Source organism: Homo sapiens, chromosome 22 (assembly GCF_000001405.40).
Source record: "Homo sapiens chromosome 22, GRCh38.p14 Primary Assembly".
In the NCBI taxonomy this organism is placed as follows: domain Eukaryota; kingdom Metazoa; phylum Chordata; class Mammalia; order Primates; family Hominidae; genus Homo; species Homo sapiens.
The window spans coordinates 31,207,075-31,233,829 of NC_000022.11; the positions used below are offsets into that span (position 1 = coordinate 31,207,075).

A 26,755-nucleotide genomic window follows, 5' to 3' on the forward strand; every position below is an offset into this window, starting at 1 on the left:
GGTATGCCCTCCTGGAGGCTCCTGTGCATCCTCCGTAATGTCACACTGAGAACGAAAGTCTTCAAAGAAGCTGGGCATGACTTATGCCTGTAGTCCTAGTTACTCTGGAGGCTGAGGCAAGAGGATTGCTTGAGCCCTGAGTTTCAAGGCTGCATTGAGCTATGATCATGCCACTGAACTCCAGCCTGGGTGACAAAGCGAGACTGTCTCTTAAAAAAAAGGAAAGAAAGTCTTTAAACGACTATTGATAATTAGAGATGATAAATGTAGGCTGGAGGCCTGGCTTCATACACAGCCTTGCCCAATATAAAACCTGTCTGACAGGCAGCCCCAGTCCTGACAAGTACATGGCATTCCTGAGCTTCGTAAGTGACAAGCTGCCACAATAGAGCTTAGCTTGTCACTTATCAGAGCCTTTAGAACAATCAGGTTACTCACTGTCAGCGTCTCTCCATCTGTTTAGTAACAGGGCAGGTGGGCTGTCAGCCAAGTCCTCTCTCTCGAGCAGAAGGTGTGTCCCTCCCTAAGGTTCCTTAGTAGCAGGGTGTAGTGTGAGATGGAAGATGTTGCTGAGGTTACAAATCTGGCCCAGCCTCAGCCTTCCCAACATGCCAGAGCTACAAGTAATTCCTCTGAAAAGAGCTTTTTTTCTTCCTCTTAGATTTTGATCTAACAGTTATCAAATTGAATAGTACCAAGATACAGTGGGGAATGCAAAGGTGAGGGAACTTCAGGAGCTCATAAGCCCAATGAGAAAAGACCAGGTTTTTTTTTTTTTTTTGAAAGATTTTAATTTTAGGCCAGGCATGGTGGCTTACACCTACAAACCCCAGCACTTTGTGAGGCTGAGGTGGGAGGATCGCTTGAGGCCAAGAGTTTGAGACCAGCCTGGGCAACACAGGGAGACTCCATCTCTACAAAAATAAAAAATATTAGCCAGGCACAGTGGTGCATGCTTGTGGTCCCAGCTACCCGGGAGGGAGGCTGAGGTGGGAAGATCACCTGAGCCTGGGAGGTCAAGGCTGCAGTGAGTTGTGATCATGCTAGTGCATTCCAGCCAGGGCAACAGACCCTTTTAGAAACAGGGTCTTACTCGGGTGCCCTGGCTAGAGTGCAGTGGTGTGATCACAGCTTACTGCAGCCTGGAACTCCCGGTCTCAGTAGGTTCTCCCACCTCAGCCTCCCAAAGTGTTGGAATTACAGGTTTAAGCCACCATGCCCGGCCTTAGGTTTTTGTTTTCGATGGGGAAAAAAAAAAAAAAACAGTAGTAGAACAGGACAATAAAGCCTCCATGTAGCCATAACCCAACTCCAGTAACTATCAACTCAGATCAGTCTTGTTGCATCTATACCTCCCGCACGCTGTTCCTCTCCCACTGTCTGAACTATTCGGAAACAAACCCCAGTCATGTCATTTATTAAGTATTTCGATATGCATCTCAAGTATTTTAAAAACAAGCAAAATATGCCGGGCACGATGGCACACACCTGTGATCCTAGCACTTTGGGAGGGTGAGGCGGGCGGATTGCCAGAGCTCAGGAGTTTGAGACCAACCTGGGCAACATAGTGAAACCCCGTCTCTACTAAAATACAAAAAATTAGCCAGGCGTAGCGGTAGGCGCCTGTAGTCTCAGCAACTCGGGAGACTGAGGCAGGAGAATCGCTTGAACCCGGGAGGCAGAGGTTGCAGTGAGCCGAGATCGCACCAGTGCACTCCAGTCGGGGCGACAGAGCAAGACTCCATCTCAAAAAAAAAAAAAAAGCAAAATACCTTTAAAAAATTTCTTAAAATCATCATATCCAATCACATTGTTCAGATTTCCCTAGTTGTCTCATAACTTGTGTAGTTTCAATTGAGATCCAAATCAGTTTCATACATTGCTATTATTTGTCTCTGAATTTTTTTTTTTTTTTTTTTTGAGACAGAGTTTCACTTGCCGCCCAGACTGGAGTGCAGTGATGCGATCCCAGCTCACTACAGCCCCCGTCTCCCGGGTTCAAGTGATTCTCATGCCTCAGCCTCCTTGGTAGCTGGGACTACAGGCGCCCGCCATCATGCCTGGCTAATTTTTTGTTTTTTTGTGTGTGTGTTTGTGTGACAGAGTCTCGCTCTGTTGCCCAGGCTGAAGTGCAGTGGCGGGATCTCGGCTAACTGCAAGCTCCACCTCCTGGGTTCACACAATTCTCCTGCCTCAGCCTCCCAAGTAGCTGAGACTACAGGTGCCCGCCACCACGCCCGGCTAATTTTTTTTGTATTTTTAGTACAGACGGGGTTTCACCATGTCAGCCAGGATGGTCTCAAGCTCCTGACCTCATGATCCACCCGCCTCAGCCTCCCAAAGTGCTAGGATTACAGGGGTGAGCCACCTTGCCTGGCCTGTCTATGAAATTTTTTCTACTCTGCAGTTTATCTGTTAAAGAAACTAGGTTATTTGTCCTGTTGCATTTCCCACAGCATCATTTTTGCTATTTGCATCATGGAAATGTTATTAAGCTCCTCTTCTCCATGTATTTCCTGTAAGTTGGTTGTTAGATCTAGAAGCTTGACCAGATTCAAGCTTATTATTTTTGTTTTGTAAGACTACGTCATAGGTGATAGTATATACTTGGTGCGTCTTACCTGGAGGCACTTAATGTCTGGTAGTCCTACTTTGTGATGTTACAGATGCCACTATATCATTTAGAGTTGAGAAACAAGACTGCACTCTGGGCAGAGTGGGGCACAAAATTACAGAGAACCTGGAGAGCTGGTTGTTGTAGGAATGGCAGGTGGCGCAAGGCAGGATGTGCTCAGGAAAAAGCAGAGTCCTGGAGTGAAGGGAATAGGGAGACAAGTCCGCAGGGTGAGATGTAGTCAGCTCATGAGGACTGGTTTGGCTTTTATTTTGTAGGCAGTGGGGTGCTGTTGAAGGGTTTTGAACAGAGAGATGACAGGTCCAGAAACATACTTTTGGAAGATTAACACAGTCAGTTTTGGGTAGGATGATTCAGGGAGGGCAGAGACTGGCTCAGTTTGAAGCAAGTGGAAGTGACACTGGGCAAGTCTGGTTGGGTACCAGTGGACCAGTACCTTCAAGAGGGCAGAACCTTGAGTTGTTTTTCAAGGTCCAGGTTTCAGGATCCTAGGCTCAGAGAGTTGACTGTGAGGCGGCTGGCAGGATCTGGCCCTAGGGACTGACCAAGCTATGGCCAGTGAAACAAACTGTGGACAGGTAACCTGGGTGCTATTGAAACTCAGTTGGTCTACTCCCTGCCCAGGCTTTCTCTACCCTCCAGAAGTCCCCCTTGAGTTCACAAGTGATTTCTGGAATGTTCTTTGGGTCCATATTAAAAATATATCTCTTGGCTATAGCATTTCTATAGAAAGCTATTCCCTTCCATTACATTTTCAACTTGTGTTTCTCAGAGTCGCCTGAACTTCCCTGGGAGGAACTTGGGGGACTTGGCTATTCCCCAGCTCCCTGCTGGTGAAGACCATGAGGCTGGAGGTAGGAGGAAGTGGAATGTGAGAGAGAATGAGGAGGGAGAAGAGATAGACCTGGGTGCCTTGGTGTGGAACGGAGGGAGAGGGAAGACACCCAGGAGGTTTTGGTTCCCAGGATGCCAGTGCTTTGTTGCCTGGGAAAATACAGTGTTACATCTTTCTGTAGGAAGGATGGGGAAAGTCCCTGTCCCCTGTTTGCTAGCCATGAGGCAGCTTGTCAGGAGAGTCTCTGGATTCCTGTCACTTTAATTCAATACACAATCTTGTGTTTACTATAATGATTTCCTCAGAAACTACAAAACTGAGTACTGAAAAGAGTTCCCAGGAATTAACGGAAATGGGACAGAGCCCTCCTCCCCAGCACTTTGTGCACACTCAGGACATCGTGAGCCACCTGCCACACCCAGAAGAGAAAAATCTGACCGGCATCCGGTTTGAATTAGAGCAGGAAGGAAGAGAATTGTGCTCGCCTTTGTCTTTGCCTTTGCCTTTGCTTACCCAACTGCTGGGACCAGAGGCAGCTGGGTTGAACTTTGTCTTTGGTCAGGGGTGGGGGTGGAGGGGACAGAATCCATTTCCCTGGGCTCCATCCTCTTTCTGGTCATTTGGACATGTTTCCTGTGATCTAAATCTGATGTAAGGAAATGACAATTGTGAAAGACCCAGCGTGAGAGAATCTGATGGGAGGGTGGGTCATCAGGGACCAGCTGGCCTGGCTGATGATGTATTAATATCTTAATCACACAGAGGACCCCAATCTCCTTCCAAACCTAATGAGCGGAAGTGGTTCTCAAAGCTACTCAGCCAGCTAGCAGCTGCCATAACCCAGTCAGCTGTCCTAACTCTTAGTCCTGTAATCCCTCCTCCTCATAGAAGATTGTAAACTGGCAGCCCACAGGGCAAATCTAGTGGCCAGGTGTGTTTCATTTGGTCTACATGGCATTTTAAGAACTTTTTGATGCTATCAACATTTTTTAAAAGTGGCAAATTTCACCTAAATATCTGGATTTTTGGCATGTTTTGAAAGGTTGGAAGACCTGGGAATGGTAGGCCCATGTTCCTGCAGGGGAGTGCTCGTCTTCCAATGCGGCGCACAAGCTCCAGCGTCCTGCGCTAAACCTAATTGGCCTGGCTGAGGATCTGCTCCTGGAATGCTGGTTGGTCGCCTCCAACTGTCTTTGACTTAGAGATTATTTACTGTCAGCTTACTCATAGTGGCGCAGAGAAGTGGTTTCTCTGAGCTAGAAGCTTCTAAGAAAAGTCCATCCTCAAAGCTGTTTGTGGGATAGACCTGGCTCCTCCATTGTAATATTCCTGATTCCAAACACTACTGGAAAGAGCTCTGAACTGGCAGTTAGCAGGCCTGGGCTCCCATCCCGGCTCTCCTCCTAATGAGCGAAGCCATTTCAATGTAGTCGAACTTAGCCTCTGATCCTTAACTTTCCCTATCTGTAAATGAGGGCGACTAGATGGGTGCGGACTGTCATCCGTGTTGAGACTTCCGGCCCCCGCAGAATCAACCTTACCGGCGGGAGCACCTCGAGGGGACGCCGCTCGCACTAGGGGGCGCCAGGGCCGCTGCAGAGCCCGAGCCAGAGCCAGGGGGCGGGGCCGCGTCTCGGGAGCGAGGCCTGAGAGCGGCGGGGCGGGGCGTCGGCGGGCAGTCCCCTGTGCCAGGTGTGGTTTGGTCCTCCCAGGGCGCCGTAGGCGGTGCATCCCGTTCGCGCCTGGGGCTGTGGTCTTCCCGCGCCTGAGGCGGCGGCGGCAGGAGCTGAGGGGAGTTGTAGGGAACTGAGGGGAGCTGCTGTGTCCCCCGCCTCCTCCTCCCCATTTCCGCGCTCCCGGGACCATGTCCGCGCTGGCGGGTAAGGAAGGGCTGCTCCGCCCTGTCCCGCTGTTATCTCCGAAGTCCGGTTCCATGGCGCCTGAGGGAAACCGGCTGTCTCTCGGGGGTTTCGGGCTGGTTGGGTCCTCGTGGGTCCGAGCTCCTCAGAAAAGCTGGGAGGCGGGGTGGGCACAGCGCTCCCCAGGCATTTGGAGGGTGGGACTCCGGGAATGGGGAGGCAGGGCATCCTGGAGACAGAGGGCTCCGAGGGGCAGGCGGGTTGGGAGGCTTCCCGCGAGTTGAGGTCCCGGGGAGGAAGAGATTCTGGGTCTGCCAGGAATCCAGCTTTTTGGAGGGACCTGGCGGCCGCAGACCCCCAAATTAACCCTTTTTAAGGAAGTTGAAAAGCATGGGGTTCTCTTATAGTGGAAGCTCTGTGGAATTTGAGGAGTACAGGATCCTCTAGGGTTCAGGACAATTAGGAGAGTTACCCCGGGTTCTGGGTTTTCTGAGGGAAATGGAGGATGTGACTTCCCTGCCAAGACCCAAGGCTTCTCGCGGGCATCTTGGTGTCTGGGAGTCCCCCGGGGCTGGGAGCTCTTTGCAGAAAATAAGGGAGTATGGAGCCCCTTGAGGTTTAGGACAGGACTAAGGGTAAGGAGAGATCGGACCATTCTTTTTGGGGCCCAAAGATCTCTGCTACAGGTGGCGAAAGTAGGCCACCTGGGGTTCTGAGTCCTCCTGTGGAAGCTCCCTTGGCCTCTCTAGACTAAAGACTAGAGGGATTCGGCCAAACACCTCCTGGAAGGAAGAGTTGTCTAAGGGTGAAGGGTAGCTTCAGAGTTGGGTTAGTTGCACCTGCAGTCACCTCCCCGCCACCTCACACACCACCCTGCAGCTTCCTGCCTTCCCCATCTTTTCCCCCAGCAGTAGGAACCTTCTGTCTCCTATGTTTCCCAGCCACCTGTGTGGGTGGCCCACCTCTGGGTCCACCAGGGTCAGCGTCCAGAAGCTTTGGAGAGGCGGCAAGAGGGTATTGAGGTGGAGGGGGGCTGGCTATCTGCCCCCTGCTTCCTGGCTTTCCGTCTGTGGACAGTCACTTCCTTCATCTTGAATGCAAGGACTGGGCTACCAGTGGGTCACTTCCTCAGCAAGGGAGCATGGGATTTTCTCTTCACTGGTGATAACAGACTTCTGGAGAGAGCTAGGGGTGGAAATGCCTAAAACAAATTTTTTTAGGCTGGGCGTGGTGGCTCATGCCTGTAATCCCAGCACTTTGGGAGGGCAGGGCAGGAGGATCGCTTGAGTCCAGGAGTTTGAGACCAGCTTGGGCAATATAGCGAGACTTCATCTCTTAAAAACAAAACCTTGTCTCTTAAAAAAGATTTTTTTTAAGCTTACAGAGTCCTTCAACTCGAATGATTTCCAGTAACTTTTTTTTTTTTTTCTTAGATGGAGTCTTGCTCTGTCGCCCAGGCTGGGGTGCAGTGGCACAATCTTGGCTCATTGCAACCTCTGCCTCCCGGGTTCAAGCGATTCTCCTACCTCAGCCTCCCGAGTAGCTGGGACAACAGGGGCCCGCCACCACGCCCGGCTAATTTTTTTGGTATATTTAGTAGAGATGGGGTTTCACCATATTGGCCAGGCTGGTCTTGAACTCCTGACCTTGTGATCCGCCCGCTTCGGCCTCCCAAAGTGCTGGGATTACAGGCGTGAGCCACCGCACCCGGCCGATTTCCAGTAACTTTTTCTAACAGCTGTGTAATATAGGTTGCCTGTCTTGAACCCTGTTTCTTAGAAAATTGTGAAAGGTTTCACAGTACAATAGTCTAGAGGCATAAAGCCTCTAGATGCATTAGTTTATGCATTCTTTCTTTCATTCAAAGAATATTTGTTGGATTCTTCTGTGTCATATACTTAGCCAAATGCTGAGTACAGTGGTGACATAGTTCTTGGCTTTGTGGTGCTTAATAATCCTAGAGATGGACAATAAATAATTGTAACAATTGCAATAAATGCTATAATAGTTAAGGTAAACAATTGAGATAAGTGCTGTAAGAGTGCACCAGGGGTGAGGGTTTTCTCTACTTTTTTTTCTGTTTTGGTAGAGACAGGGTCTCACTATGTTGCCCACGGTGGTTTCAAGCCATCCTCCTGTCTCAACCTCCCAAAGTGCTGGGATTACAGGCATGAACCACCATGCCCATCCTCTACTTTTTTTTTTTTTGAAGGGAATACTTTTCTTAAAAATGCAAGTTTATGCTGACCCCTGGAGATAAGTAAAAGTTAGCCTGGCAAAAAAAGCTCACAGAGCATTCCAGGCAGAGGAAACAGCATAAAAAGGCCCTAGGGTAGGAAGGCATGTAGTGCCTTTGAGCCTTGGAGCTGGGAGGTCAATATGGTTTTTTGATTTTTTTGTAGGGGGTGGGGAGGAAGAGTCTTGCTCTGTTGCCCATGCTGGAGTACAGTGGCGCGATCCAGACTCACTGTACCCTCCACCTCCCAGGTTCAAGTGAATCTTCTGCCTCAGCTTCCTGAGTAGCTGGGACTACAGGCAAGTGCTACCACGCCCAGCTAATTTTTTGTATTTTTATTAGAGACGGGGTCTTACCATGTTGCCCAGGCTGGTCTCAAACTCCTGAGCTCAGGCAGTCCACCCGCCTTGGACTCCCAAAATGCTAGGATTATAGGCGTGAGCCACCATGCCCAGCCAAGTATGGCTTTTTTATAGATGAGGAGACAGGCCCAGAAATGACAAGGTTCCATAGCTAAATGAGCAGTGGTGGTCAGAGTTCATATTTTCCAACTTCAAGTTTAGTGCTTCCTCCTCTCTGTAGCACAAAAAGCAGAATGAAGTTGACTATGGAGTCTGAGAAGGAAGTGGGACTTAAACTTTCACTTGTTATTCCATTCAAACCATGTTCTGAGACACCTCAGATTCCTCGTGTAACCGGAGAATCGATAACAAATCAAATATTTACTGAGTGCCTGTGATGTCTGTGGCACTGGGCAGGACCAAGTTTTACCTCTTATAAATTTTAACAGGTGTTAGAGCCAGGAGAGAGTTTTGAGATAATGTATAGTCTCCTTGTTTTACCTATGAAGAAACTGAGGCTCAGGGAAAAAAAACGGAGTTGTCCAGGGTCACTCAACTAGTGGTAGAGCCAGAACCAAGGTAAGACTTCTGCAGTGTTCTTTCCAGTATTCCAGGCTGCTTAAGACGTACAGGGTCTGGCACATGGTAAGCCCTTAATAAGTATTTGTGGAAATGAGTTATATATAGTTTGTGCCTCTGAGAAACTTACTGTCTAGTTAAGGTAATTAAGGCAAAAAACAAAACTGCCATGCTGATCAGTAGTGGGATTGCGCCTGTGAAAAGCCACCGCACTCCAGCCTGGGCTACATAGCAAGATCCCCATCTCTTAAAAAAAAGAAAAAAATTGATAAGACAAGCTGTTATAAGGCTTGCGTATGATAACATTATAGAATTTCAAAGATGAGGGAGAATTCTCTTCAAACATTTATTCCACAAATATATATTGAGTTCCTGCTATGTGCTAAACTCTTTTGGCCCCTAGGGATACAGCAAGGAACAAGATAGACCAAATCCCTTCCCTCATGTAGTGTATGTTCTGGTGGGGAGAGATAGACAGCAAGTAAATGTATGAACATCATATTCAGGGATAAATCCATTGAAGAGAAGTGAAGTAGGGTAAGGGGATAGAAGAAGTGAGTTGTCAGGGAATGTGTTTGGCATGTTTAAAGAATAGCAGGGTATCCAGGGTGGCCATCAGTTTTGGTTAGGGAATACTTCTTGAAGTGGGTAAGACTTGAGAAATCTTAAATAGGCTTAAAGAAGGTGGGGAAGATGATATCTTAGTAGGGAAGAAACTTTGGGAGTAGGAGACAAAAGTAGGCAAGTTTCAGGTCTTCATAAAGGGTAGCAAATACGTGTGGTAGAGGCAAGGATTGGGAGGTGGAAGATTCATAGGAAGTGGAAGGTACAGCTGAGAATGTGGGTGCAACCGGACTAGAGGGTTTAATGCCAGGCTGAGGATTTTGGAAGTTTCTAGTCTACAGTAGGCACCGTAGGTTTAGAGAAAGGAAGACTCATGATGTGGGCACAGGGCCACCAATCTGGAGGTGGGTATAGTGGGCCCTGAGATGAGGTCTTAGTGGTAGCAATGAAGAAGGCACCAACCAATAAAAGATGCCTCCTGACATAGGCAGGCCAGGGTGACTTGGATGGTCCTGGATATGTGATGGAGCAGGGTAGGGTCCAAAATGACCACAAGATTTCAAAACTAAATAAAAATCCGTCATGATCAAGGGGCTGTATTAGGCTTTCCACATTCATGGTGGATTTTCTGCATCTTCTGGAGGCTGAGCTGATTCCCAGAACAGGGCTGCCTTCTTGTTAGTGTAACCTTGAGCGGGTCTGATAGGGCCCACCATCACACACATCTCATTTCAATGAGAGGACCTGAAACTGTAGCAGTCTCTTACAAGTCTACCTTCTTTCTCATCCTTTATCTATTTTTATATAGTAGAAAGAATTAGACTATTTTACCTATTAATTTACATTGAATAGTAACTAGAACATGAAACCAATGCCTGGTTTCATTAAAGTGTTCCTTGAACATTCTTTCTGGGATTCTTTTTTATCATGTCTTTCTGCCTGTAATTTGTTTTGTCCAGGAAAGAAAGTCTAAAATGTAGTTAAAGACAGGCTTTGAGCCAGGTGCAGTGGCTCACGCCTGTAATCCCAGCACTTTGGGAGGCTGAGGTGGGTGGATCACAAGGTCAGGAGTTCAAACCAGTCTGGCCAAGATGGTGAAACCCCATCTCTACTAAAATACAAAAATTAGCCGGGCATGGGGGCAGGTGCCTGTAATCCCAGCTACTCGGGAGGCTGAGGCAGAGAATTGCTTGAACCTGGGAGGCAGAGGTTGCAGTGAGCCGAGGTTGCACCACCGCACTCCAGCCTGGGTGACAGAGCGAGACTCCGTCTCAGAAAAAAAAAAAAAGACAGGCTTTGGAGACTAGACCTGTGGTCTAATCCCAGCTCAAACATTTATTAGCTGAGTATTTCAGTTTCCTCTTCCGTAAAATGAGAACAATAATAGTTCTTTAAGACTAGTCCTGATCTCATGGGATCTTTGTATTCAGTTAGCTCATACTTGCGTAGTGCTTAGGACATTGTCTGGCATAAAGTAGTTTTTTTCCTCTATCATTGACAACTGGCAGAGAACTGCTGTATGAGAATATATCAATTGGTTAACCAGTTCTCTGATAAAGATATTTTTATAGGCCCTCCATAGATAAGAAAATGCCTACTCATTCACAGTTGAGTGAACTTCTGGTTGGAAGTTGCAGTCTGGGTGGCCTGAAAGACATAAGAACCATCTGTCTCATTTGTCACTGCAGTGTATTTTGTTAATGTACTGAGTTTGCCTTGCCTGTAGCACCTGGTTTGTCCCTCTCTGACATGTTATTTCTGTGTATATCCATGTCCTTCACACCCCATGAGTACACACCAAGGGCCCCAGTAATTCCTGGCCTACTCTGTGCCTTGTACATGGGCACATAGAAAAAAGTTTGCTGAGTTTGTTTTGAAAACCTTCCCTTCAGATTTTAGAAGTTTCTGTATTCAGCTTAACCTTTTCCCCAGCCAACTTCCTAGATACACACGCAGGAAGGAAGAGAAGTTAGTCACAAATCGGTCCAACTAAGTGCCTGGCACCATGGGAGATATTTTCACATCTATTACATTATTTCTATTAATCCACTTGGTAATCCTGTAAAGCAGGTGGTATTATCCTCTTTTTAAAGATTAGGAGACAAGCTCAGAGAGGTCAAATAATTTGCCCAAGGACACAGAGGCAAACAGTGACAGATTCAGGTTTCAAACACACATACATTTACCCCTCACAAATTTTTCCAAATAAACCAAAGAAGGGAAGAAGAGAATAACAGCAAGAAGGAAACTTTCTGAGATACCTGTGTCTGTGCCTTAACCTGAAAAAGGAGAGGCCCTTGGTTTGGTGTCAGTCTCTCAGAGCTGGAAGAAATCACTTGATCCCTCCTTTTACAAAAGAACAATCCAAGGTTTAGAGAAGCTCGAAAGCTCTTTTAAAAATCATCTAATCTTTTTTTTTCCTGAGACACTCCTTTTGGTAAAATTTGGTAAGCTAGTGAGGAAGAAAACCCTTTGGGTTACAGGGAGAGTATCTAGAGGCATGTTAATCCTTACTGTTAGTCTTTTTGATAGTCACTTCATTAAAATGTGATCTTTTTCTCTTGGCTTTTCCCCAGCAGCTGCTGCCCTGCCCTTCTGCTTTCTGCTTTGTCCCAGAACAAGTGGGATTTATACACCTGACCCGCCAGTTCCCAAGGGGCCCAGGGGTTACCATACTTGTTTTATGCTGCACTGAATTGGCTGAGTTTTGTTCCTGGTTCTCGTTGTCTGGTGGAACGTGAGAAGCTTCAAAGATTTTTTTAAATGAAAGGATAGGATGTTGATTTAAGCTAGGCATTAGAGTCTCATGAGCTCTCAGTGCTTGAGGATTTCTCACCATTTTGAAGCCTAAAAAGGACTCATTTGCAGAAACCAAGCTCTTAGACCAAATTTAAGGTGAACATTGTGGGGACTGCATTGGCTCTGAGCTGGGATACCAGGCCAACCCTTCCACTGAATAGCTGTGTGTTCTTGAGCAAGTCTCAACTTGTCTGAGGCTGCATAGGGTATTAAAAATATGACTGGCATGGTAGTCTCTGAGCATGGGTTTGAATCCCTCCTGGACCATCTTTCAGTAGCTTTGTGGTGGTTAGGCAAGTCTATTTTCCTTCTTTTTTTTTTGGCGCCTGCCCCAGTGGATTCACATTTGTTTGAGGGCCACATTGCTAATTAAGTTGGGAGAGAGAAGCATTCATAAAGTGAATGTAAAGTGAATGTATTTTATACCAAGATTGAAAAGGTCTTAAAGGTGAGAACCCCTATAATGAGACATTTGTTGCAGTGCTCACCTTACGTTGCACAGTTGCACTTATTAAAAGCAACAAATTCCAATAATAACTGAAAACACAGTTTTCTGTTTATTAAACACCTAATAAGGGTCCTTTATTGTTTGAAGGTACTGTGAACATTTACTTAAATCAAGCTCCTTTTCTGGACTCTTCTTTTTTTTATTTTATTTTATTTTTTTGAGACAGAGTCTGGCTCTGTCGCCCAAGCTGGAGCGCAGTGGCACGATCTCGGCTCACTGCAAGCTCCACCTCCCGGGTTCATGCCATTCTCCTGCTTCAGCCTCCCGAGTAGCTGGGACTACAGGCGCCCATCACCATGCCCGGCTAATTTTTTGTATTTTTTAGTAGAGATAGGGTTTCACCGTGTTAGCCAGGATGGCCTTGATCTCTTGACCTCGTGATCCACCCGCCTCGGCCTCCCAAAGTGCTGGGATTACAGGCGTGAGCCACCACGCCCGGCTCTTTTCTGGACTCTTAACAATCAGTAGCCACTGTTGATAAGTCTGCAAATATGAGAGGTAAACACTATAGAGGGAGAGAATGAACAGCCTGGTACAATGAGATATTTTCTTAAGAAAGAACTTCCCAGGCTGACTGGACTTTGGATTGATCCTCCACTAGGCTTCACAGAAATCCCTAAGACTTTGCATTACAGTATTACATTTCTTTTACATTTCCTAGAATAAAGGTGGTAAGAGAATAGATCAATGAATTTTTAAGACTGTAAGAGAGCTAAAGAAGTCAAGAGTGTTCTCTTGAAGAGGGTCTGGGCGTAGGAGGCTGTGTGCTTTGGGTGAATATCTTTGCTCAGGTACTTCCTAACAGAAAAGCAGTGTGAATGCATAACAGGTAAACTGAGGCCAGGTTTATCCACATGAGACTACTCATAGGTAATCTGGGAGCCAGAACAGTTATTCCAGTGGAATCATCTGTGCTGACCTTTGGAACTTATCTTTGGAAATTGCTTTTATAGCTGGCAGTTGGATCCAAATTTTCAGTTGGGTTCACCACACAAAGGAATGTCTGTTTTGCACCAGGCCCAAGGTTAGGCCCTGGAGATAAGAACATAATAAAGATACAGTTCTTACACCTTAGTTCTCTGAATGGGGTGTGGGGGAGGAGAGTGGAGAGAGAGGGACTGAAGGAGAGAGAAACATATGCAGTGAACTGTAATTAAATAACAAATTATGTAAAATAGGTATAGACAAAATGAAACAAACACTGCCTGATTTTAGGGAACTTTAAAGAAAGGATAGAAATTTGATTAAGGGGCCGGGAGCAGTGGCTCACGCCTGTAATCCCAGCACTTTGGGAGGCCGAGGTGGGCAGACCACCTGAGGTTGGGAGTTTGAGACCAGCCTGACCAACATGGAGAAACTCCGTCTCTACTAAAAATACAAAATTAGCCGGGCGTCGTGGCGCATGCCCACAATCCCAGCTATACTCGGGAGGCTGAGGCAGGAGAATCACTTGAACCTGGGAGGCGGAGGTTGTGGTGAGCCGAGATTGTGCCATTGCACTCCAGCCTGGGCAACAAAAGCAAAACTCTGTTTCAAAAAAAAAAATTTTTTTTTTGATTAAGGGAAAAGATAGAGAAGCTTATACATAGAGAATAACTGGAGGTGTGAATGTCAGGATGCAAGTACATGAATAAAAGTGGCAGGAATAGAAAATAGGTCAAAATGTAACTAGAGCATTCTTTTGTAAGGAATGGTGAGAGAGAAGGGTCCTTTGGGACCACATTGTAAGGACCATTTGCTCTTTCAGTAACTGTTTATTGAAGGATTGTAGCAGACCAGGGGCCAGACATGGTTTGCTAGCCCTTTGGAGGTAGCAAAAGCCAACTTTAATGATGTGTGAGAAGTTTTTGTTCCTGCCCCAGGGCCTTTGCACATGTCCCCCCTCTCCAGTGTTAGCCTTCCTTCCCCCCTTTTTTGCCCCGTTAATTTGTATTCATCCTTTAGAGCTCAGCTTGGAAATTACTTCCTCAAGGAATACTTTGGCCGCCCGCCCTTTTCCTAGTTATGAACTTGATATCTTCGTACCACTTGCCCCAATTATAAATAAATAATAATAATAATTATTATTTTTTGAGACAGAGTCTCGCTCTGTCGCCCAAGCTGGAATGCAGTGGAATGATCTTGGCTCACTGCAACCTCCGCCTACCAGGTTCAAGCAATTCTCTTGCCTCAGCCTCCTGAGTAGCTGGGACTACAGGCGCCCACCACCATGCCTGGCTAATTTTTGTATTTGTAGTAGAGACAAGGTTTCACCATATTGGCCAGGCTGGTCTCGAACTCCTGACCTTGTGATCCACCTGCCTCAGCCTCCCAAAGTGCTGGGATTACAGGCGTGAGCCACTGCGCCCGGCCCTCAATAAATAATTATATTATTGTTTAATATTTGCTTTGTGTTTAATCTCTCTCTTGTTTGCTCCTCTTTCCCCAACACAGTGTCAGATGCATAGTTGGCATGCAATAAATATTTGCTGAAAGAATGACTGAAGCGGGTCCATTGAATTTAGCAATAAGCAGTTACTGTTACTGTTGACCTTGGTGAGACAGTTTCAGAGAAATGGTGGGGGTGGAAGCCAGATTGCAGTGCATTATGCAGAAAGTGGGAAGTGAGGAAATGAGGGCAGCGATGTGTAGACAACTTTTTTTCTTTTTTCTTTTTTTTTGAGTTGGAGTTTCACTCTTGCCCAGGCTGGAGTGCAATGGCGAGATCTCAGCTCACTGCAACCTCTGCCTCCCGGGTTCAAGCCATTCTCCTGCCTCAGCCTCCTGAGTAGCTGGGATTACAGGCATGCACCACCATGCCTGGCTAATTTTGTATTTTTGGTAGAGATGTGGTTTCTCCATGTTGGTCATGGCTGGTCTCAAATTCCCGACCTCAGGTGATCCACCCGCCTCAGCCTCCCAAAGTACTGGGATTACAGGCATGAGCCACCGTGCCCAGCCTCTTTTTTTTTTTTTTTTTTTTTTTTTTTGAGACAGAGTCTCGCTCTGTTGCCCAGGCGTGAGTGCAGTGGCGAGATTACTGCAACCTCCACCTCCTGGGTTCAAGCGATTCTCCTGCCTCAGCTTCCTGAGTAGCTGGGACTACAGGCGTGCACCACCATGCCCAGCCAATTTTTGTAGTTTTAGTAGAGGTGGGGTTTTACCATGTTGGCCAGGCTGGTCTCAAACTCCTGACCTCAAGTGATCCACCCACCTTGGCCTCCCAAGACAACTTTTTCATACATGTGGCTGTGAAGGGGAGAAACAAGGATGGTAGCTAGAGGAGAAAAGGATCCAGTGGTTTGGTTTTTTTTAAAATTAGATTTTAAAACTAAATTAGATTTTAAAACTTAACGAGTTTGCATGTCATCCTTGCGCAGGGGCCATGCTAACCTTCTGTGTCTCAGTCCAATTTTAATGTATGTGCTGCTGAAGCGAGAGTACCAGAGGTTTTTTTGATGGCAGTGACTTGAACTTATTTAAAAGATAAGGAGGAGCCAGTGAGGGAGAGGGGTGCTGTAAAGATAACTAAAAGTGCACTTCTTCTAAGAAGTAAGATGGAATGGGATCCAGAACAGGGGTGTCATACCGAGTAGCCCAGCCTTTGTTCCGTGGACACTGGGGAGTCTAACCCAGAGCTGAGATAGCTTGCAGTGTGGATGAGCCAGCTGAGTACAGCAGATAGGGAAAAGAAGCCAAAAATCTGAAGTAGGGCTGGGGTGAAGGACAGGGAAGGGCTAGAGAGACATTTGGAAAGTGAAACCAGGTGGATATGAGAGGAGAGAGTAGAGGGTCTTGATTTCGGGTCTTTCATGCTTAACCCAAAGCAGGTACTAAAGTATGTGTTGATTGAATGTCTTTGGGTTTCTCAAGACTGGAGAAAGCAGGGCAAGCTCTGGAGGGTATGGCAATAACAAGTTATCTTGAATATCCTCATGGTGGAAAGTCCTGATCCTGTTTGAATTTTGGAAATAGAAATCATTCAGAGCCAAGAGATTGAATTGTTGAGTAAGTGGGTGGTCAGGTTACAGACTTAATTTTGGGTTAAAAAGTAAAAACAAGAAACAAGGTGTGGCTCTAAAATAATGAGATGTGCTGGGGGTGGGGCATGGCAGCTCATAAACTGACCCTGAAAGCTCTTACATGTAAGAGTTCCAAAAATATTTCCAAAACTTGGAAGATTCATTTGGATGTTTGTGTTCATTAAAATCTCTCACTAATTCATTGTCTTGTCCACTGTCCGTAACCCAACCTGGGATTGGTTTGAGTGAGTCTCTCAGACTTTCTGCCTTGGAGTTTGTGAGAGAGATGGCATACTCTGTGACCACTGTCACCCTAAAACCAAAAAGGCCCCTCTTGACAAGGAGTCTGAGGATTTTAGACCCAGGAAGAATGAGTGATGGGCATATATATATCCTATTACTGAGGCATGAGAAGAGTGGAATGGGTGGGTTGAGGTGGTGTTTTAAGGCCTCTTGCCAGCTTGTTTAACTCTTCTCTGGGGAACGAGGGGGACAACTGTGTACATTGGCTGCTCCAGAATGATGTTGAGCAATCTTGAAGTGCCAGGAGCTGTGCTTTGTCTATTCATGGCCCCTGTGCCTGTGAAACAGGGTTCGGTGACTGTCACTGTGCCTGTGGCAGTCTGTAGTTACCCAGAGAGAACAAAGCTGCATACACAGAGCGCACAAGGGAGTCTTGTAACAACCTTGTCCTGCTTTCTAGGGCTGAGTCAGGTACCACAGCTTGATCTCAGCTGTCCTCTTTATTTCAAGAAGTTGACATCTGAGCCATACCAGGAGTATTGTATTTTGTTTGAGGCCTCTCTTTTTGGAGGAACATGGACCGACTCTGTGCTTTTGTCTATGCTGGTCTCTGAGCTCACACAACCCTTCACCCTCCTTTCTCAGCCAGTGATAGGTAAGTCTTCCCTATCTTGCAAGGCTCAGCTCAAGTGTCAGCTTCCTCTACAAAGACTTTCCTGGTTCCCCTCATTGGAGTGAACAAGAGTTGACATGGTAGAATGGAAAGAGCAGAAGCTTTAGAATGAGCCAGACCTGAGTATGAATGCTAGATCCACCACTTAGCTAGTCAACCCTGCCCCCTGCCTCAAGTTTTAATTTTCCTATCCATTAAGTGAATATAATAATACCTGTGTCACAGGATTATTTTGAGAATTAAATGAGATTAGGTCTATGAAAGCACCTAGCAGAGTTCTTGGCATATAGGAGGCATTCATTAAATATTTGTTCTTCCCCTTTTATACCCATTACTTTTCTTTTTCTGAACTAAAATAATACTTGGTTCTATCTCTGAAATAACATCCAAGTGAAAAATCAACAACATGAAAGAGCAGTTCTTTTCCAGTGGATTTGCTTCTTAAGGAGCAGAGATTATGTAATCTAACAGCCTCCAACATACAAAGAGCTTTGTATCTAGAACAGGGGTCCCCAGCCCCTGGACCGCCAACTGGTACGGGTCTGTAGCCTGTTAGGAACCAGGCTGCACAGCAGGAGGTGAGCGGCGGGCCAGTGAGCATTGCTGCCTGAGCTCTGCCTCCTGTCAGATCAGTGGTGGCATTAGATTCTCATAGGAGTGTGAACCCTATTGTGAACTGCACATGCAAGGGATCTGGGTTGCATGCTCCTTATGAGAATCTCACTAATGGCTGATGATCTGAGTTGGAACAGTTTGATACCAAAACCATCCCCCCGCCCCCCAACCCCCAGCCTAGGGTCCGTGGAAAAATTGGCCCCTGGTGCCAAAAAGGTTGAGGACTGCTGATCTAGAGGACCAATTTATTCAATGTTGGTTGAGTAAATGAGCTCTTGGATTAGGTGATGGAAAAATCTGAAAAAACAGGGCTTTTGAGGAATAGGAAAAGGCAGTAACATGTTTAACCCAGAGAGAAGTTTCTGGCTGTTGGCTGGGAATAGTCATAGGAAGGGCTGACACTGAAAAGAAGGAGATTGTGTTCGTTTCTTCTTCTCAGAGCTATAAGCAAAGGCTGAAAGTTCTAGAAAAAGGCAAGTTTTGTTTCAGTAGAAAAAAGGATAATCAGAACCATTTTTAGAAAATGGAATGAGACTACTTTTGAGGCCATGAGTTCCTTGTCCCTGGAGAGATGAGCAGAGGTTGGACAAGTGCTTACCAGAGATCTTGTGGAGGCAGAAACTGTGCATCTAGCAGAGCATTGGCCTAACCCTTTCAAATGAGATGCTGTTAACTCAGTCTTATTCTACATGGTAGGAATCCTGTCCCTTTGCCTCCTGCTACTTTGGGCCTCTCAACCTCTTGGTTTTGTGTGCAGGTGAAGATGTCTGGAGGTGTCCAGGCTGTGGGGACCACATTGCTCCAAGCCAGATATGGTACAGGACTGTCAACGAAACCTGGCACGGCTCTTGCTTCCGGTAGGTGGGCCTATCCTCCCATCTTTACCAGTGTACTATGGGCCAAGCACTATTTCATGTTCTGATGGAAAACACAGAAACAAGCTTCTGAGTTGAGAATTTCAATCTTAGGGTGGGGAAAGGAATGTACCAAGGAAGAGCTCATGACCAAACCTCAAGTGTGGCCCCCCTGAACCCAGGTTAAATTGGAAGAGCCATAAATGGGCCAGCTGGAGGCAGGGTGGGGGGATGAGAGGAGCCCTTTCCAGGGTTGTCCCATATCCCTCACTTTATGGGTGAGGAAACTGAGGCCCAGGAAGAGTGACTTTCCTGTGGCTGCACTACAGATTATGCAGGTACTTCAAGAGTTGTTTGTATTCTTATTTTATTTTATTTTATTTTATTTTATTTTATTTTATTTTATGAGAGGGATTCTTGCTGTTGCCCAGGCTGGAGTGCAGTGGTGCAATCTCGGCTCACTGCAATCTCTGCCTGCTGGGTTCAAGTGATTTTTCTGCCTTAGCTTCCTGAGTAGCTGAGATGACAGGCACCTGCCACCATGCGCAGCTAATTTTTGTATTTTAGTGGAGACGGGGGTTTCAACATGTTGGTCAGGCTGGTCTTGAACTCCTGACCTCAAATGATGCACCCACCTCGACCTCCCAAAGTGCTGGAATCACAGGCGTGAACCACTGTGCCCAGCCAAGAGTTGTTTTTAGTGTGGTTGGCAGAGCCAGCTCTTCCTCACCACAGGTTGCCTCCCTAGGTTCCTACTTTTTGTTACTAGCTTTATTATAGCTACATTATTATTATTATTGTTATTATTATTGAGACAGAGTCTCGCTCTGTCGCCCAGGCTGGTGTACAGTGATGTGATCTTGGCTCACTGCAACCTCTGCCCCCCGAGTTCAAGCAATTCTCCTGCTTCAGCCCCCCTAGTAGGTGGGACTCCAGGCACCTGCCACCACGCCCAGCTAATTTTTGTATTTTTAGTAGAGGCGGGGTTTCACCTTGTTGGCCAGGCTGGTCTCAAACTCCTGACCTCAGGTGATCCGCCTGCCTCGGCCTCCCAAAATGTTGGGATTACAGGCATGAGCCACCGCGCCCTGCCTATAGCTACATTATTTTTGTAGGCAGCTCAGTTTCTTAAAAATTATACAGACTTCAAATCAGATTTGTTCCTGCTGTCTGAGGCTCAGTTTCTTCATCTGGAAAATGGATGGTAATAATCTTGTTGAGATTGAATGAAATAATATATGCAGTGTATCCAGTACATGGTAGACACCCAGTGAATGGTTATTCCTTCCTCCCATCGGATTGGAATTCTCAAGGGTGGGAACTTGTCTTTATATTCTTCACAACGTAAAATAGTTGAAATTTGTTGGTGGAAAGAAGAGCAGTCCACTCCAGAGGCTGGATGGGCATGCCTGGCCCCCAAGGTCTGAAGTGGTAGGGCTGTGCCTATATCCTGAGAATGAGATAGACTAGGCAGGCACCTTGTGCTGTAGATTCCAGCTCCTGCACATAGCTCTTGTTGTAAAACATCCCTGTGCTTATACCAAGTAATTGAGTTGACCTTTAAACACTTGCCTCTTCCCTGGGAACCATATAGGGGATTGGCCTGGAGACGTCTGGCCTCTGGAAGAGTTGGAAAGCAACCATCATTATTATCCTTTCCTTTCAGCTATAACTCAGAGCTCTCAAGTCTTTTCTGTGGATCTTATTGCCTTGGTTCTTGCCCCTTTTACTCCCAGGGAAGTTGATTCTGTCTTTTCTGTTCCATTTAGTATGACAGGAGCAGAGAATGTCAGAGCTGTAAGGGACCTTATAGTTAAAGCCTTTGGCTGGTCCTTTCATTTTATAGCTGGGACTAATAAGTAACGTCAAAACCCAATGAGTTCACAGATTGGGTCTCGCCTTGGCATGTAACCCATATGTTCATATTCTTGCTGTTTTCCTATGTGTATGAATATTTTCTATCCAAAATAAGCAGGACAGGGTAGAGCAAGTTAATCTTTGGAATTTCTGGATTCTCTTAGAGCTAAAAAACTTCAGAACTAGAAGAAACCACCCACTATATGGTATAACCCATTCATATCACAGATGAGGCCTGAAACCAAAAAGACTTGCTCAGGCCATGGATGACAAGAGCTGGCCCTAGCACTGAACTCTTGGGTCATTTGTAGGTCTAGTCAGATGCTAGCTTGTTAGCTCTGTGCGTGCGTGTGTGTGTGTGTGTGTGTGTGTGTGTGAGATAGAGACAGAAAGATAACATATGTACACAAATACATAAAGAGGAAGTAGACACGTTAGCATGGTAGATAAGAGTACAGGCAGGCCAGGCGTGGTGGCTCACGCCTGTAATCCCAGCACTTTGGGAGGCCAAGGCAGGTGGATCACCTGAGGTCAGGAATTCGAGACCAGCCTGACCAACATGGTGAAACCCCATCTCTACTAAATACAGAAAAAAATTAGCTTGGCATGGTGGCACATGCCTGTAATCCCAGCTACTTGGGAAGCTGAAGCAGGAGAATCGCTTGAATCCGGGAAGCAGAAGTTGCAGTGAGCCGAGATTGTGCCATTACAGTCTAGCCTGGGCAACAAGAGGGAAACTCCATCGCAAAAAAACAACCACCACCAAGAGTACAGGCTATGGAATGAGACTATGGTTTTAAATCCTGGCTTTGCAATTTATTAACTAGCCTTAAGTGACTTCCCTGAGCTTCAGGCACCAATCTGTAAAATGAGGATAAGAATATTACTCATGCCACATGGTTGTTAGGGAGGATTAAATGTGATAACCTATATAAAGTGGCTAGCATAGCATCTGACATATAGAAAACTCTTAATAGGGCCGGACGTGGTGGCTTATGCCTGTAATCCTAGCACTCTGGGAGGCCGAGGCAGAAGGATCGCTTGAGCCCATGAGCCCAGGAGTTTGAGACCAGCCTGGCCAACATGGCAAAACTCCACCTCTACAAAAAATACAAAAATATTAGCCAGGCGTGATGGCACACACCTGTAGTCCCAGCTACTTGGGAAGCTGAGGAGCGATGATTACCTGAGCCCAGGGATATCAAGGCTGTAGTGAGCTGTGATCATGCCACTGTACTCCATCCAGCTGGGGGACAGAGTGAAACCCCTGTCTCAAAACAAAACAAATGAAAAAAAAAACCCTTAATAATCAGTAACTGTCACTTTATATTATGTTGTGAGTGTGTGTCTATATACACCTATATGTATACATTTCTCTTATTACACATTCATTGGTGATCTGATGTGGAGCCCCAGGGATTAAGGGCAACTTTGAACTACCCTGACACAATCAAGCCAAATATCATTCCCGTGGAGGAAGTAGAGTATCTAGGTTCTGTCTCCTAGTTGCAGCTTTACCTTGAGGACAGAGACTCTAATCCAGCTGTGCTGAAGGAGCACATCTCCTGACTTCTGAGCTTTCCCCTGGTAAATTCAAACTGGATGTCACGGCGCCCTCAGATAGAGCCTGGTAATTTGCCCTGGGGAGAGTGACTGTCTTTTGGATCTAATTTGACTTTTGCCCCAGTTGGAGGAAAATCTTCAGGGCTAGGAAGGATTGTATTTGTCTGACCCCAGAGATAACCTGGGTTTTGAGGAACATGGGGCATCAACCTGAATGGTCTTGTAAGATCTCTCCCACGCCAGCTTGCCAGTGTTTCTCTGATGAATTTAGAGTACCTGAGTAGTGCAGGCCTGCTGGGAGGAGGACTCTCCCTCTGTGCTACTCAGAGAAATTCATTCTTCAAGGCCCCCTTCCAGCCTTGCTCTTACCCAGCTGGGCTACAGTTACAATAAAGGAAATGACTTTTCTTCTCCCCTTCCCCCAGTACCTTTGTTTTCCTAGTCACAGGGTGGGGCTGGATATTGAATGGAGAAATTGCTGGGGTCCATCCTAAACTCCTCCCCTCATCTCTCCCTTACATTACCCCATTCTTCTGTCTGCAGCCACATCCATAATCCTGCCTCTGTTAGCCTTCCGACAGACCCTCAGGTGCCCAGGACAACAGGAAGCTACTTAAAGCTGGAACCTCAGACTGTGCAATGGAGGCCAGTGACAAAACTGAAAGTAGCTCTGTCAGTAATTGTGCTGGTGCGATTAGGCAGCTGGCCAGAATCTTTTGGATCTCCTGGACATATGGCTGACTAGTCCTCCCAAGCCTTCCCAACAGGCCTCTTTTTTTTCCTTTTTTTCTTTTCTTTTTTTTCTTTCTTTCTTTCTTTCTTTTTTTTTTTTTTTTTAGGCTAGTGAAGTGAAATTGTGGGAGTGGAAAAGGAACAAAGAAATCGGTAACTGGTAGTGATCAATTACTTGTAAACACTATTGTACTTGGACCAGCCCAGTAGGCCTTTTTTAAAACTCTGAGTTACCTCTCTTTCCTTTCCTTGAGCAGTGCCATTAATTCTGTATCTGGGGCAATCCTTTCTGATGTTCTCTGGACCTGGCTCTCTCTCCTTAGGAGAGGCCAGGAGAGTAGCCAGAGAGCATGTCATTTGTAGCTGAGGTTAAAGTGTGGAGCTATCAATGGTGACCTGGCCTCTTGGCATGTTAGCAAGCCAGAGGACCTTGACAACTTTTTTGATGATTGTCCGTTCACCCTGATCAAAGGTGTTTGGCTTAGGAGGAGGGAAGAAAAGCTACCCCTATTAGTCTTGATGGCCCCAGCGTGGGTCTCTATTGCTTGACCTGGTTCCTAGCAGCATTATCAGAAGGAAAATCCACCGCTCTTAAGGCTCCTGGGAACTTTCAGGACTTCCTTTCTCAGGATTGCAAACATAAGACTATTTGAGCTTTCACTTTTGAAAAGCGGTTACTAATACCTATACTCTGGGAAAGGGCTAATGCAGATAGAAGACTGTGGTCACTGCATCAGGCAACAGACCATTTCCGCTAAATTTAGTGACTCCAGGAAGGCCAGTGAAGAAATAACACACGTAGCAACCAGAGACTGTGTTGTAATATGTTGGCTGACAGCAGGGTACTTTCTGTGATGCTGAAAGCCACATTCATTTTCTCTCCCCTCATCCCCATCTAAGCAAGCCTGGTAGAATCATAATTACAGTAATAGGTACCACTTATTGAGTACTCTGTGCCAGACACCCTCCTGAGCATACGACATGCATAGCACATTTAATCCTTACAATGACTTAATAAAATGTAGTACTAGTCTTACCTACTTCGAGAATAGGGAAATGGAGGTTACTTGTTTAAAGTCACAGAGCTAATAGGTAGCATAGCTGAGATTTGAACTCAGGCATTCTTACTCCTTGCCTGCAAGAGTCTCTTGGCATTCTTGAATGCAAGCATATTTCTTAACCTCACTGAGGCTCAGTTTCCTCTTATATAATATGGGGTAAAGAGCCCTCACCCTGCCTGCCACACACTGGTAGTGTCAGATAACATTGAAGGGTGTTAGTTTAAAGGCTTCATGGACTCTATAATGTCAACAAAAGTGCTGTTAACTTTCTTCTGGGTCTCAGGCTCCTGATGTAGAGTCAGTGGAGCAACCCTGCCATCTGCTGTTATGCTGTTGATGTTGCTGCCACACTTACTAACCTAAACCTTTGATTCTGGCTGTGGCCTTCTCCAGAAGGTGTTTACTCATTTGTCCAGTTTATCTTTTAGGAAACAGCCAGCCCGTAGATCATTAAGGCTGGCTATTGGACAGGGGGCTGGGGCCTGCCTGACAGAGGAAGGAAGGGCAGACATCTGGTTCTTCCTCTGCCCCTACAAGAGACTCCAGCCTGACCACAGAGTGGTACTCCTAGGATGTAGCAGCAGCATATGAGCTTGAATGTGCCTTAATCCTGCTCTTTACTTTGAGAAGAGAGAACTAAGGACCCACAGATGTTTCACAGCTTCTATAGGAGGCAGAGGTAGAAAAATGGAGAGAGATGAGGCCAGAGATAGATAACTGATATTAATTAAACGTTGTATTAAGAACCTCACTTAGATTATCTGATTCAATCTTCATAATAACCCTGCAACCCCCACCTTTTTTTGAGACAGGGTCTTGCTCTGTTGTCCAGGCTACAGTGCACTGGTACAATCATAGTTCACTGCAGTGTCAACCTCCTGAGCTCAAGCAATCCTCCCACCTCAGCCTTGCAAGCAGCTTGGACTACAGGCGTGCCACCACACCTTGCCATTTTTTTTTATTTTAAGTAGAAACAAGGTCTTATTAATACTATGTTGCCCAGGCTGGTCTTGAACTCCAGCGATCCTCCTGCCCCAGCCTCCCAAAGTGCTTGGGATTACGGAAGTAAGCCACTGTGCCTGGCCAGTGCAACCCCCATTTTATACTAAAACAGGAAGGCCCAGAAAGGTTTGGAGTAACTTGTCCAGGGTCACACAGATGATATTTGAACTCAGGTCTCCCTGGCTCCCAAGAGAGTCTGCTTTCCACTAGGACTCCCAGGAGAAAAAAAAAAAAAAAACAGTAGACTTGGAGACAGAAAATCTGATTTGAGTCTTAGTTGAGCTAGGCTAACTGTGTAACTGTGGGCAAGTTCCTTAGCCCCTGTGAGCCTCAGTTTCTTATCTGTAAAATGTCATAAAAGAAATCCATCTCATGGAGTAGTTGTGATGATCAAGGACTCTGAAAACATTAGAATGGTTTAATGTGAAGGATTAGCAGCAGCACATGGCAACATTGTGCATCTTATATTAACTATCCAAATATATCAAGCGTCATTTGCTATATATAAAAGTCATCAAATTAGGCACTGTGGGGGATACGGAGTTGGCATACTAGCCTGGCCTCTTAATTAATTCATTAATTAGCTTATTTATTTTTGAGATAGGTCTTGCTCTATTGCCCAGGCTGGAGTGCAGTGGCATGATGATAGCTTACTATAGCCTCAATCTCCCAGGCTTAAACAATCCTCCTGAGTAGCTGGGACTACAGGCACACACTACCATGCCCAGCTAATTTTTTTTTAATTTTTTGTAGAGACAGGGTCTTGCTCTGTTGCCCAGGCTGGTCTCAAACTCCTGGGCTCGAGATCCTCCCACCTGGGCCTCACAAAGTGTTGGGATTACAGGTATGAGCCACGGCACCTGGCCTGGTCTCTTAACTGGTTCCCTAAGACAGCTGGAAATAGAGAATGTCATGGAGCATTCCTAACCATGGGCTCCAGCCTGGCTTTCATTCTGTTTCTCCCCTGAAACAACATTCCTTTAGTAATATTCCGAATAACAGCTTCATCAGTCTGTCTACCGACCACTCTTCAGGCTTCATCTTATATGACCTCCCAAACTGCACTAAGGGTTGTATTAGAGAAAAGTGGATAAAGTTCGGAGTCAGGCTGCTTGAGCTTAAATGCCAGCTTCACTTACCAGCCACCTGACCATGAGTCAGCTGCTTAACCATTCTTTGCCACAGTTTCCTTGTCTATGAAAAGGGAAATGGCTCCCACCTCAAAAAGTTGTTAACATTAAATTCAATCATGTATTCAAAGTCCTGAGCAGAATGTCTGGCCATGACTGGGACTTAACAGATGTTAGCATTTATTATTAGTATCTGTCAGTCTTGAAATGTTCTCTTCCCTTGGCTTTCATGACATTCCACACTCTCCTGGTTTTCTCTTACCTCTCTGGTAATACCTGTTTGCTTATCCTTCTTTGTCCAGCTCTGGGATGTTACCATTCCTTCAGGCGTGCTGTTTTCTCCTTAGGCAGTCTTACACACACTCATGACTTCCTTCCATTGTCCTCCACACACTGATGACCCTAAAATCAGTATCTCCAGCCTAAACCTTTCCACTGAGTTCTAGACCCATATGTTGTACTATCAACCTGGCTTGTCCATTTGAATGTCTTCCAGGCACTTCAGACTCTCTTCTCTAGACTTTGCTGGACTTTCACTCTTCCCCCTAAAACTGGCTCCTCTTCCACTGAAACATGTATGTCATTGAGAGGCACCACCATCCACCCAGTGCCTAAGCCAGAAACCTAGGAATCCTTGATACCTGTTCTCTCTCATCCTGCATATCCAA

General features: G+C 46.1%; 1 protein-coding gene and 1 pseudogene across 1 annotated transcript in view, besides 5 other annotated features; one reads left to right on the forward strand and one right to left on the reverse strand.

Moving 5' to 3' along the window:
• Window positions 4,765-4,944: an enhancer, noted in NCBI's record as "active region_18849". NCBI's record gives its function as "activates an Ori minimal core promoter by ATAC-STARR-seq in GM12878 lymphoblastoid cells {active_cell/tissue: GM12878}" and the evidence as "EXISTENCE:reporter gene assay evidence [ECO:0000049][PMID:35858748]".
• Window positions 4,925-5,324: a silencer, noted in NCBI's record as "silent region_13624". NCBI's record gives its function as "represses an Ori minimal core promoter by ATAC-STARR-seq in GM12878 lymphoblastoid cells {active_cell/tissue: GM12878}" and the evidence as "EXISTENCE:reporter gene assay evidence [ECO:0000049][PMID:35858748]".
• LIMK2 (LIM domain kinase 2) overlaps window positions 5,224-26,755 on the forward strand; it is a 67,783-nt gene continuing 46,251 nt past the window's right edge. Inside the window, exons 1-2 of the mRNA NM_005569.4 lie at window positions 5,224-5,350; window positions 18,646-18,745. Of these exons, the coding sequence (NP_005560.1) occupies window positions 5,335-5,350; window positions 18,646-18,745 (116 nt within the window). The 5' untranslated portion in view covers window positions 5,224-5,334. The remainder of the gene's footprint in view (window positions 5,351-18,645; window positions 18,746-26,755) is intronic.
• Window positions 5,907-6,832: an enhancer, noted in NCBI's record as "H3K27ac-H3K4me1 hESC enhancer chr22:31608967-31609892 (GRCh37/hg19 assembly coordinates)". NCBI's record gives its function as "activates a minimal SCP1, AML or CMV promoter by ChIP-STARR-seq in naive H9 embryonic stem cells {active_cell/tissue: H9 hESC(naive)}" and the evidence as "EXISTENCE:reporter gene assay evidence [ECO:0000049][PMID:30033119]".
• Window positions 14,786-14,875: an enhancer, noted in NCBI's record as "active region_18850". NCBI's record gives its function as "activates an Ori minimal core promoter by ATAC-STARR-seq in GM12878 lymphoblastoid cells {active_cell/tissue: GM12878}" and the evidence as "EXISTENCE:reporter gene assay evidence [ECO:0000049][PMID:35858748]".
• On the reverse strand, window positions 15,685-15,774 carry RNU6-1128P (RNA, U6 small nuclear 1128, pseudogene; annotated as a pseudogene).
• Window positions 22,714-22,773: an enhancer, noted in NCBI's record as "active region_18851". NCBI's record gives its function as "activates an Ori minimal core promoter by ATAC-STARR-seq in GM12878 lymphoblastoid cells {active_cell/tissue: GM12878}" and the evidence as "EXISTENCE:reporter gene assay evidence [ECO:0000049][PMID:35858748]".